The 13291-nt window shown below is 43.2% G+C and overlaps 1 protein-coding gene across 8 annotated transcripts in view; it reads right to left on the reverse strand.

Moving 5' to 3' along the window:
* The window catches only part of RNF38 (ring finger protein 38), a 151270-nt gene that overhangs the window by 125452 nt on the left and 12527 nt on the right, over window positions 1-13291 (reverse strand). Inside the window, exon 1 of one of the 8 annotated variants that reach the window (XM_017014294.2) lies at window positions 8877-13038. The exons of the other annotated variants lie outside the window; for them this stretch is intronic. Within the exon in view, the coding sequence (XP_016869783.1) occupies window positions 8877-8948 (72 nt within the window). The 5' untranslated portion in view covers window positions 8949-13038. Of the gene's footprint in view, window positions 1-8876; window positions 13039-13291 lie in introns of those variants that run through there. 8 annotated transcript variants of the gene reach the window in all.

Here is a 13291-nt window from a genome sequence, read left to right on the forward strand (position 1 = left end):
GTATGAACTCCCTATAAAATACAAATTTGGGGATTCTCAGCACATAAATGATATTTAAATCCTTGGGAACAAATGCTATCATCCAGAAAACACAGAAGAGAGATGAAGAAACAGGCCCAAGCCCTGAGGAACTCAAACATGCAGTGACCGGGAAAAGAGGTTGGCAAAAAGTATATGCAAAGGTAAGAGGAAAACAAGGATTATGAGATTACAGAAGCCAACAGGCTGGGATCCAAGAAAGAGGATAAATTACGTGGATAACTCTGGTAAGAGATGCAGTAAGATGTGGTCTGAATATCCACTGGTTTGGCAACCCACCATTATGGATGACCTTGGCAGAGCAGTTTCAGGGAACTGGAATAAAGGATTAAGTCAAAGAGGGCTGAAGGGTGACTGACTATACACCAACCAGCCTGTATGCAACTTAGCAAACTTCCCAACTATCACCAAGATGCAGGTAAATCACCTCATCTCTCTCCTGCTCTACCGTAACAGCCTCCAACTGCTTTTCCTGCTTCAATCCTTACCCTCCTACAACCCATTCTCAGCACAGCGGCCAGAAAGATCCTAGAAGGGAAGTCATACCATATATCACCACTCCTCTGCTCAGTGATCTCATCTCATTCAGAACAAAGGTCAAAAACAAAGTATCCCTAATAGTCTAGAAGGTCACCATCTTACCTCTGAACACTCCTGTTCATGGAATACAGCAAGCACACTTTTGCGTCAGGGCTTCTGCACTTAAAACAGCTTGATGCCTAACTTCCTTCGAATTTCTGCTCAAATGTCACTGCACCAATGATGCTTTCTCTGACCAACTGATTGATTTTTTTTTTTTTTTGAGACAGAGTCCTGCTCTGTCGCCCAGGCTGGAGATCAGTGGCATGATCTCAGCTCACCACAACTTCCGCCTCCCAGGTTTAAGTGATTGTCGTGCCTCAGCCTCCCGAGTAGCTAGGACTACAGGCGGGCACCACCACACCTGGCTAATATTTGTATTTTTAGTAGACACGGAGTTTCACCATGTTGGCCAGGCTGGTCTCCAACTCCTGACCTCAGGTGATCTGCCTGCCTCAGTCTCCCCTGCTGGGATTACAGGTGTGAGCCACTGTACCCCGCCCTGATTTACTTTTTTTTTTTTTAAGTGAAAACAAGCTTATTAAGCAAGTGAAGGAATAAAGAATGGCTACTCCATAGGCAGAGCAGCCTGGTCAAGTGATTTAAATAGCACCTGCTTTCATTCTTTGCTTATCTTGGCCTACCCTGATCTGTTTTTCTTCTTACCACTTATCATCCTTATGGCATATTTATGCTTACTGTCTGTCTCACATCATGAGGATGTAAGCTTCATAAGAGTAGAGGTTTTACCTGCTTTTGTTCACTACTGTGTAGCCAGTATGTAGGCCTGGTACACAGTAGACACTCATTTGTTTCTTGCATGTAAGTCAGGAGAAAGGCCCCGCACATTATGAAGTAATAAACTGGCACTTTCAGTTTGATACAAGCCTTCTGTTATTTAGATAATATGAGTCTGATCACTCACAGGAATGCAGGAAAGTCTCATTTCTGGATCCATGAAATAGAATACTAGTTCTTCAATGATCTAAACGTAGGCCTTGAAAAACTCACAATTATGCCATTCTGCTGGGTGTCTCCTTGTAAATTCAAGAGCATTTCCATTCAATTTTCAATATGAACTGTTTACCTTTTGGGTAAAGCAAGGTACACTAGAAAAAAAAAATCATTTGTAATAATGCAAAGACGTGGTCACGAAGGGGGCAATGGTACTGATGAATCACACAAATACAAAGATATGTACATATTACATTTGAACAAAGGCAAGTATGTATGGTGCACTGGGATTAGGTAATTCTTCCAAATAATTGAACCATGCTTTCCAGTCTGTCTATTTAATTTCCCTAATCATCTCTCTAATCACCAAGAAGAGACTAAGCTATTTTTCTCTGCAAACTCCCTAGCTCACACTTACTCTTTTGTCCTCAGAAAAATAAGTGACCAAAAACTATTATCTTAGGCCAGGTGCGGTGGCTCACGCCTGTAATCCCAGCACTTTGGGAGGCCGAGGCGGGCGGATCACGAGGTCAGGAGATAGAGACCATCCTGGCTAACATGGTGAAACCCTGTCTCTACTAAAAATACAAAAAATTAGCCGGGCGTGGTGGCAGGCACCTGTACTCCCAGGTACTCAGGTTGAGGCAGGAGAATGGCGTGAACCCGGGAGGTGGAGATTGCAGTGAGCCTAGATCACGACACTGCACTCCAGCCTGGGCGACAGAGCAAGACTCTGTCTCAAAAAACAAACAAACAAACAAAAAACCACACAAAAAAAATTATCTTCTAATTTCTGACAAGATCAAAGCTCTGCATTATGTAGATGAAATGCAAGCCTTAATTATAATTTGAAATCATATTTAGGCCGGGCGCAGTGGCTCACGCCTGTAATCCCAGCACTTTAGGAGGCCAAGGCAGGCGGATCACAAGGTCAGGAGTTCGAGACCAGCCTGGCCAATATGGTGAAACTCTGTCACTACTAAAAATACAAAAAAAAATTAGCCAGGTGTGGTGGCGCACACCTGTAATCCCAGCTACTCAGGAGGCTGAGGCAGGAGAATTGCTTGAACCTGGGAGGCGGAGGTTGTGGTAAGCTGAGATCGCGCCACTGTACTCCAGCCTGGGTGACAGAGTGAGACTCCGTCTCAAAAAAAAAAAAAAATCATATTTGTATCAGATTATCAGTCATATATATCTACTCATGTAACCCTAAACAAACTGTGAAAACACAAATCCTGGAAACTGCAATATTCACCCAATAAATTAATATACATACACTGTATAGCTAAGAATGGAAGGAAATGGCAAAACAAGTTAAAATACAGATAAATCTAAATAACTGTGATCAATCTGGCTACATAATTGTGTGGAACATTTTTAAAAATCATTTCCAAAAATATGTAATATATAAAGATAACATAAAATTCCAGATTTGCAAAGAAAAAAGTAAAGAAAGCAAATGTACTAAAATGCTTGTTTTACAATTATGAGGACTCAAAAAGATACTATTTAGTGCTCTGCCTCTGACAGAGAATTTTAAAAGCCTTCTTAAAATCTGCATGGACCAATAACACAAAAAGATACTTAACATCATTAGCCATGGGGGGAATGCAAATCAAAACTAGAAGGAGATACCACTTCCCACCCACTAGGAGGGCTATAATCAAAAAGACAGATAACAGAGAACAAGTGTTGGCAACAATGTGGAGAAATTAGAACCCTCGTACACTGCTGGTGGGAATATAAAATGGTGTAACAACCTTAAAAAACAGCACGGCAGTTCCTCAAAAGGTTAAGCTTAGAGTTCCATTTGACCCAGTAATTCTACTCCTACATAGGGGTGGGTTCGTGTTTACACAAGAGAAATAAAAATATATGTCCATGTAAAAACTTGTACACAAGTGTTCATAGCAGCATTCTTTTTTTCTTTTTTTTCTTTCAAGATGGAGTTTCGCTCTTGTTGCCCAGGCTGGAGTGCAATGGCACAATCTCGGCTCACTGCAACTTCCACTACCCAGGTTCAAGCGATTCTCCTGCCTTAGCCTCCCGACTAACTGGGATTACAGGCATACGCCACCACGCCTGGCTGATTTTATATTTTTATAGAGACAGGGTTTCTCCATGTTGGTCAGGCTGGTCTCGAACTCCTGACCTCAGGTGATCCGCCTGCCTTGGCGTCCCAAAGTGCTGAGATTACAGGCATCAGCCACTATACCCGGCCCATAGCAGCATTATTCATAATCATCCAAAATAGGATGCAATCCATATGTGCATTAACTGATGAATGGGTAAAGTATGATACACCTATACAACTAATATTTACCTACAAAAAGTAACAAAGTGCTGGCCGGGCGCGGTGGCTCACGCCTGTAATCCCAGCACTTTGGGAGGCCGAGGCGGGTGGATCACGAGGTCAGGAGATCGGGACCATCCTGGCTAACACGGTGAAACCCCGTCTCTACTAAAAATACAAAAAAAATTAGCCGGGCATGGTGGCAGGCACCTGTAGTCCCAGCTACTCAGGAGGCTGAGGCAGGAGAATGGTGTGAACCCAGGAGGCGGAGCTTGCAGTGAGCCGAGATCGGGCCACTGCACTTGAGCCTGGGCAACAGTGCGAGACTCTGTCTCGTGAAAAAGTAAAAAAAAGTAACAAAGTGCTGATACATGTCACAACATAGATGAACCTGAAAATACTATCTATTCTAAGTGGAAGAAGCCAGTACTGTTCATAAAAGTGCAAATTGTATGATTCCATTTATATAAAAGGTCCAGAACAGGCTAATCTACAGAGACAGAAAGTAGATAGCTGTTGCCTAGGACTGAGATGGGAGGAAATGGAGAGTGACTGCCAATGAGTGGAGGATTTCTTTTCAGGGAGATGAAAATGCTCTGGTATTAGATAGTGGTACTGGTTACACAACTGTGAATACACCAAAACCCACTTAATTGTATACTTTATTTGGGTAAATTGTATATGTAAATTTATATTTCGATAAAGCTGTTAAGAATGAGGTAGCAGGCACAATGGGAGGCTCATAAAGCGTAGTTTTAGTATTTTATTTCTTGACCTGCTTGGTAGTTACACACGTGGGTTCACACTATGATGATTCATTGAGCTGCAAACTTACAAGATATGAATGTTTCTATACGTATTTCGTATGTCAAACAAATGTTTCAAAAAATAAATTTATAAATACTGACTTGGAAAGAGACCCAACATTATTATAAAGTGGGAAAAAAGCAAGTTTCAGAACAATATATATACTATGGTCCCACTTTTTGTAAATTTATACACAACACTACATGAATATACACATATCCAATCCTCACTGACCTCTGCAGGATTCAAATAAAGGAACTTTTATTTTCTCTAATATACATTTCTATAACATTTTAAATTTTGCCATGTATATTTTTGTAATCAGAAGACAATAATGTCTACTTATAAAAAAATTTGAAAAGGCATAAAGACAGCCAGTTGCGGTGGCTCACACCTGTAATCACAGCACTTTGGGAGGCTGAGGCAGGCAGTTTCACCTAAGGTTAGGAGTTTGAGACCAGCCTGGTCAACATGGCGAAACCCCGTCTCTACTAAAAATACAAAAATTAGCCAGGCGTGGTGGCACGCGCCTGTAATCCCTGCTACTCAGGAGGCTGAGGCAGGAGAATCATTTGAACCCAGGAGGTGGAGGTTGCAGTGAGCCGAGATCACACAATTGCACTGCAGCCTGGGCGACACAGCGAGACTCCGTCTCAAAAAAAAAAACAACTGCAACTAATCTGATTGCTATTACATATATATATATATAATATATATATATACACACACACACACATATACACACACATACATATATGGGTAACAGTAATAGTGAAATTATCTTTTCCAACTATTTAAAATTATGAAAAAAATTAGATGTCTACTTAAAATTTTTCAAGATTTTCAGAGTATATATTCAAAATACTTTGAATATCACTAATTAAGGAGAGTAATTATGCAGCAAGAGAAAACAGCCCAGTGCAAGGAGGCTGCAGCTCTGAGCTATGGGGCCTGAGAGAAGAGCCTAGCCCTCTGTGGGCCTGTTTCCTCAATATGACAATAAGGAGGTCAGATTATGATTCTGCTGCTCTCTGCTTCAAGAGTCACTAACTGGGTGGGTCAGGCCATTTGGGATATAACATCACTACCAATAATAACACCATTAGCAGCAATAATAAAACCCACTATAGCTTTTTCAACAATTAATGTACACTTCCATGCATCATCTCTATACACAAATGCCTGCGCCTCTCACACAGGTAATTTGTGGACACACACCAAAATGGTACCTGTTACCACCTCTGGGATTATAGTGGGGAGAGGAATAAGAATGGAGGGTCCATCAGTCAGGTCCCAAAAGTAAAGAGATGGCAAATACAAATCAGAATAATCTGAGAAGGGTTTGTTTATAAAAGAAATAATTACAAAGTAGGGGAATAGAGGCTACAGAAACCATGGGGATGGAACAGAAATCAGGACTAGTAAAGGCAGAACAAGGCTGAGCAACAGTGGCTCACACCTGTAATCCCAGCACTTTGGGATGCCAAGGTGGGAAGACTGAGTGAGCTCAGGAGTTCAAGACTAGTCTAGGAAACACAGCAAGATTCCACCTCTACAAAAAATGTTTAGAAACTAGCCAGTTGTGGTGGCGCACGCCTGTTGTCCCTACTCAAGAGGCTGAGGTGGGAAGACTGCTTGGGCCCAGAAGCTCAAGGCTGCAGTGGGCCATGATCGCACCACTGTACTCCAGCCTGCTGGGCAGAGCAATGTTCTGTCTTAAAAAAAAAAAAAAAAAGGCAGAACAAGTATTGCTTCTAGAAGTGCCAAAGAAGATAGGAGACAGAGATTACCAGAACGCAGAATCCAGGTATATAATACATGCTACCCTGAGAGGTGAAGGGATAAATATTCTGACCTCCTTCTCTGGCCCTTCAATCCAGAGGGCCTAAGAGTTCTTTATCTGGGGCAAAGAGCCAGGTAGAAAAGAGTAGAGGATGGATCTGGAGAGGTAAAGAAAAGATATCCAGCCCAGATTTCTTTTAACTTTTTATAAAATTAAATACATGAGCCTGGCGTGGTGGCTCACGCCTATAATCTCAGCACTTTGGGAGGCCGAGGCAGGTGGATCACTTGAGGTTAGGAGTTTGACACCAGCCTGACCAACATAGGGAAACCCCGTCTCTATTAAAAATACAAAAATTAGCCAGGTGTGGTGGCGGGTGCCTGTAATCCCAGCTACTCGGGAGGCCGAGGCATGAGAATTGCTTGAACCTGGGAGGCAGAGGTTGCAGTGAGCCGAGATCATGCCACTGCACTCCAGCCTGAGCAACAAGAGCAAAACTCTGTCTCAAAAAATAAAAAAAAATTAGGCCAGGCACAGTGGTTCACACCTGTAATCCCAACACTTTGGGAGGCTGAGGCGGGTGGATCACAAGGTCAGGAGTTCAAGACCAGCCTGACCAATACGGTGAAACCCTGTCTCTATTAAAAATACAAAAATTAGCTGGGCATGGTGGCAGGTGCCTGTAGTCCCAGCTACTCAGGAGGCTGAGGCAGAAGAATTGCTTGAACCCAGGAGGCGGAGCTTGCAGTGAGCTGAGATCGCACCACTGGACTCTGGCCTGGGCGACAGAGCAAGAGTCCATCTCAAAAAAGTAAAACCTTACACAGAAACCTGAAGTCCCACCCTCCATAATCCTGGATCCTTCTCTCCAGAAGTAATCATCTTTGTTATCAGTTAGGTGGGGTTTACTGTTGGCCCTTTCTATATAGAGAGAGAGACATATCACAGTAAAATACAGAGAAGTGTTTTATGGAGTGCTATTCATTTAACATGAATGGTATTACTCTACTACTTTGTTCAATCTTTTTTTTCCCCCACTATTTTCAGTTCAGTTAGAAAATAATGTTCAAGGGCCAGGCACAGTGGCTCACACCTATAATCCCAGCACTTTGGGAGGCTGAGGTGGGCGAATCACCTGAGGTCGGGAGTTTGAGACCAGCCTGACCAACATGGAGAAACCCCATCTCTACTAAAAATACAAAAAATTAGCCAGGCGTGGTGGCATATGCCTGCAATCCCAGCTACTCGGGAGGCTGAGGCAGGAGAATTGCTTGAACCCGGGAGGTGGAGGTTGTGGTGAGCCAAGATGGCGCCATTGCACTCCAGCCTGGGCAACAAGAGCAAAACTCCATCTCAATAAAAAATAAAAAATATATATAATGTTCAAAGCCTGGTGCGGTGGCTCACACCTGTAATCTCAGCACTTTGGGAGGCCAAGGCAGGTGGATCACTTGAGCCCAGGAGTTTGAGACCAGCCTGGCCAACATGGCGAAAACCCGTCTCTACTACAAAATACAAAAAATTAGCCGGGAGTAGTGGCACCCACCTGTAGTCCCAGCTACTTGGGAGGCTGTGGAGGGAGGGTCACTGGAGCCTGGGGAGATCGAGACTGCAGTGAGCCAGGATCATGCCACTGCACTCTAGCCTGAGTGACAGAGTGAAACCCTGTCTCAAAACAAAAACAAAGAAAAAGGAAATAATGCTCAAGAAGCCAGGATGAGATGGATGGGCTTGATTCTCCTCGGTTGTTTCTACTCCACCACAGTGGCTCTCAGAACACACCCTGCCCTTCATGTGCATTAGCATCACCTAGGAACCTGTTTAAAATGAAATCTGCAGGCCCCACCCAGTGAGGTGAATCAAAAGCACTGGTGGGGGTGTCCAGCTTTTAAAGTCTAAGAACCACTACTCTACCTCCTGGTACTCAAAACTTTCTTCACCATCACCTGATGCCTTGCCAGAAATCGGCATTTTAACAAGATCCCCCTGGTCTACCTCAGGGCCACAAACCATAAGCCCCAATCCATAATGCTTCGCACCCATCCACACAGTGTCTGAGTGGTTTCTGGGAATGGGAAGTAGGGGAGGCCCACTGAAAGAGCAGTGGTTTTTCTCTCTTTGAATATGAATCTATCACTTACCAATCCTGTGGGAAAAACAGCACTGCATGCCCTAGTTAGACAAGAGTATGTTGTGTGTGTGACAGAAAGCACACAACTACCATTAAACTGCCATGGAAATTTATTCCGCTTAGATGTCACTGTTATGTTATAAGCTATTTTTCTTTTAAAATAAGGGAATTTCAATTTTAACCCCAGGCATAATAAAATTAACAAGATTGTCTAACCTTTGTTTGTATTGCTAATATTGTAGCAGGAATCTGTCACCTTAAAACAAACCAACCAAGGGGATATACCTTACCTTCTCTGCTCGAACAAGGACACCTTCACCAACATCTAGCCCCCACTTCCATGCAGCAGCCCCCATCTCCATACAGCATGGAGGAAGGAAAACTATTTCCAGTATTCCACCTTTAACTTCCTGCTGCCTCCCTCAAAGACTCATAGATTTTATTTCAAAATCTGAACCCGAAGGCCCCTAACTCCATCTCTCCCTTTGCTTCTCTCTCATTTTCCTCCACTGAGACTTCTCTGGTCTGTGGTACTGCAAACATGTCGGCTCTTCCAGCAAATCTACAGGTGAACTACGTACATATTTATGCCTAAGAATTGTACTGTCTCACTGCTCATTCCAGCTTGACTCAGCCTAACACAACGATGTGCTTTTTTAAGGCACTTCCAGTTTCACTTCTAGCTCCTACCAGGCTTCCGCCCCGCCCCAATGCAACATAGCCCCCTCAGTTTCCCAGACCCAGGAAGTAGCAAGGTCAATTCTGTGAGGCCCATATCCAATTTGACTTGCCTCTCTCTTCTTAAAGCAATCTTGGAATTAAAATTTCTAAAGCCCCCTTTCAATTTAATAACTTTTCTTCCATAGAAACAAGAGGTTTTAATCAAGCCTTAAAAATAAATTTGAGCCTTGTGTTTTTAATCACATAGCATTGGGAAAAATAATATAACTATTCTACCAAATTTCAAAAGGAAACATGTTTACATCTCAAATGTGCTACAAAAAGATCCTGGTATGGTAAAACTAGTTTGATTTCGACTCCCACCCCAACCTTTTTTAAACTTCTCCAACACAGTTCCAGAATAACTTGTCAAAATCACTTCTGAAGCGGTAATCCCAGCTACTCCAGAGACTGAAGTGATCGCCTGAGCCCAGGAGTTCCAGGCCAGCCTGGGCAAAATAGTGACTCTTATCTCAAAATAACAAAACAAAACTCACCCTGTCAATTAGACTCAAAAGATGTATAGTACTAACTAAACATTCCAGAGTCAAATTGTAACTTCAGTTTTTATCTCAACACAGAATTTATGAGTTGCACATAAATTTACTTTACTTCTTTTTAGAAATGGAGTCTTGCTATGTTGCCTGGGATGGTCTCAAACATCTGGCCTCAAGTCATCCTCCCACCTCAGCCTCCCAAGTAGCTGGGATTACAGGTGAGCCACCGCATCCAATTTACAAATTCACTTTAAAAAGTCAAATCTTTTCACTTCTTGCTTTGCTTCTTGGATTTGTTTGGGGAAGAGGAATGTTTCTTTTTTTTAGCAAATAATGGTAGCTTTTACTTGAAGCTTTAAAATATCAATTTTAAAAAAACAATTTTAAAATAACAATTTGTTTTCAACTATATATGCAGTTTTAATAAAAATATTAGATAATTCGATTACAAGAGTTCTTGACTTACATTCCTGCCATTAGCAAAGACAGTCAACAATGTCTTAAGAGCCACCAAACATATCAATCTCTAGATATGGTCTAAACCTAAGGTTATTTTAAAAACTAAGAACAGTGAGTGTGTAGAAACTCTTCAATTATCTGGATTAATCAGCTTTTATCCTGCCTGTATAGAATCAATGTCTTCCTCCTATGAATTCCACAGTTTAGTAATTATGAAAGGCAGAGAATTCATTTTTCCTTCCTAGGTATCCATAAACCAAGCTTCTCTAACCCATAGCCCAGGATGGCTTTCAATGCAGCCCAACACAAATTCATAAATTTCTTCAAGTGTATTTCATGTGTGGTCCAAGACAATTCTTTCAACATGGCCCAGAGAAGACAAAAGATTGGACATCCCTGGCCAGCAGTTAGCAGCACTCAAAGAAAAAACAGGCCTTATTCCAAAAGTTCATATAATCTGGCTTTGACCTTAGAAGCCCATTTTGCCATAGATCATTTTCTAAATGGTACGTTCCCAGGATGGCCCACCAATACCTATTAAGCCCACAATACAGATGAGATACTGAACTACCAAGCCCAGCCAAGAAGTTTTTCTTCATCTGTTTAAGTGCCCAAACAAGCACTCAGTTAAGATCTAATGTTGAGAATCACAGAGCATGGGATCTTTTCTAAGAAGTAACTTAAATATGCCTGATTTATAGAGAATCCAGGGCTGGGTACGGTGGCTCATATCTGTAATCCCAGCACTCTGAGAGACCGAGGTGGGTGGATCACCTGAGGTCAGGAGGTGGGTGGATCACCTGAGGTCAGGAGTTCAGGACCAGCCTGGCCAAGATGCTAAAACTCTGTCTCTACTAATAATACAAAAATTAGCCAGGCGTAGTGGCACATGCCTTTAATCCCAGCTACTCGGGAGGCTGAGGCAGGAGAATCACTTGAACCCAGGAGGCGGAAGCTGCAGTGAGCCAAGATCACGCCATTGCACTCCAGCCTGGGTGACAAGCGCGAAACTCCATCTCCAAAAAATAAATAAACACAATAAATAAAAAAATAAAGAGAATCCAGTGCTGGGCACAGTTGGGGGTGCCTATAGTTCCAGCTACTCAGGAGGCTGAGGCAGGAGGATCACTTGAACCCAGGAGTTCAAGTCCAGCCTGGACAACATAGTGAGACCCCATTTGTAAAAATAAATAGCTGGGCGTGGCAGCTCATGCCTATAATCCCAACACTTTGGGAGGCCAAGGCAGGCGGATCACCTGAGGTCAGGAGTTCAAGACCAGCCTGGCTAACATGGTAAAATCTCGTTTCTACTAAAATACAAAAAATTAGCCAGGCATGGTGGTGCGCACCTGTAATCCCAGCTACTTGGGAGGCTGAGGCAGGAGAATTGCTTGAACCTGAGAGGTGGAGGTTGCAGTGAGCCAAGATTGCACCACTGCACACCAGCTCGGGCAACAAGAGCGAAACTCCGTCTCAAAAAAGATATTAAATAAATAAATAAATAAGTGTACCACTCTGATGTACCACTCTGATGCAGGTACTCCTACTCCTGATGTGACCAAGTAATGAATGATTTAAAAACTCAATTTTTGTCCAGGCGCGGTGGCTCACACCTATAATCCCAGCACTTTGGGAGGCTGAGGCAGGTGGATCACAAGGTCAGGAGTTCAAGACCAGCCTGGCCAAGATGGTGAAACCCCGTCTCTACTAAAAATACAAAAAAATTAGCCGGGCGTGGTGGCAGGCACCTGTAATCCCAGCTACTCAGGAGGCTGAGGCAGAGAATTGCTTGAACCTGGGAGGCGGACGTTGCAGCGAGCTGAGATCATGCCACTGCACTCCAGCCTGGGCAATAGAGCAAGACTCCATCTCGGGAAAAAAAAAAAAAAAAACCCTCAATTTTTAAAACCCTAGCACAGACCGGGCGCGGTGGCTCACACCTCTAATCCCAGCACTTTGGGAGGCCAAGGCGGGCGGATCACGAGGTCAGGAGATTGAGACCATCCTGGCTAACACGGTGAAACCCCATCTCTACTACAAATACAAAAAATTAGCCGGGCGTGGTGGCGGGCGCCTGTAGTCCCAGCTACTCGGGAGGCTAAGGCAGGAGAATGGCGAGAACCTGGGAGGCGGAGCTTGCAGTGAGCCAAGATCACGCCACTGCACTCCAGCCTGGGCGACAGAGCAAGACTCCGTCTCAAAAAAAAGAAACCCTAGCATAGTAATTCAGAACTTAAAAAACAAAGTTATTTCTCAGGAGAGACAAAGGCAAAACAAAAGACTGCAAATTCTCTTCATCAGCTAAAATAGTGATCAACTTTGCTTATATTCAGTCTTTTGTTATCAAAACTACTTGCTGTGTTTTCGGAGGCTATCTGTAAAGTAAGATGCAGTAAAGCATGACGGCTAAAAATACAGATTCTGGAATTAGACTACCTGGGTTCATATCCCAGGTAACACTCCTAATAGCTGTATCATCTCCAGCGAGTTGTTTAACCTGTGTGCTCCAGTTTCATCTGTACAATAAGTATAATATGAGTCCCTTAGGGGACTGCAGTGAGGATTAAATGAATTAATCCACATAAAATACTTAGAATAGAACCTTAAATAATAAGCACACAATAAGTGACCACTATTATCTAGATATTTAAAAATAGGTAGAATTTAGAAAAGGAACTGAAGGGAAAAGAGGCATTATAGGCTGAAGTAACAATCAAAGGAACAGAGGTAGAAAAATCACACACAGGGCCGGGCGCGGTGCCTCACGCCTGTAATCCCAGCACTTTGGGAGGCCGAGGCAGGCGGATCACCTGAGGTCGGGAGTTCAAAACCAGCCTGGCCAACATGGTGAAACCCCATGTCTACTAAAAATAAAAAAATTAGCTGGGCATGGTTGTGTGCACTTGTCGTCCGAGCTACCCACTCAGGAGGCTAAGGCAGGAGAATTGCTTGAACCCAGGAGGTGGAGGTTGCAGTGAGCAGAGAGAGCACCATTTCACTCCAGCCTGGGCAATAGAGTGAGACTCTGC

This window comes from Homo sapiens, chromosome 9, assembly GCF_000001405.40.
Source record: "Homo sapiens chromosome 9, GRCh38.p14 Primary Assembly".
In the NCBI taxonomy this organism is placed as follows: domain Eukaryota; kingdom Metazoa; phylum Chordata; class Mammalia; order Primates; family Hominidae; genus Homo; species Homo sapiens.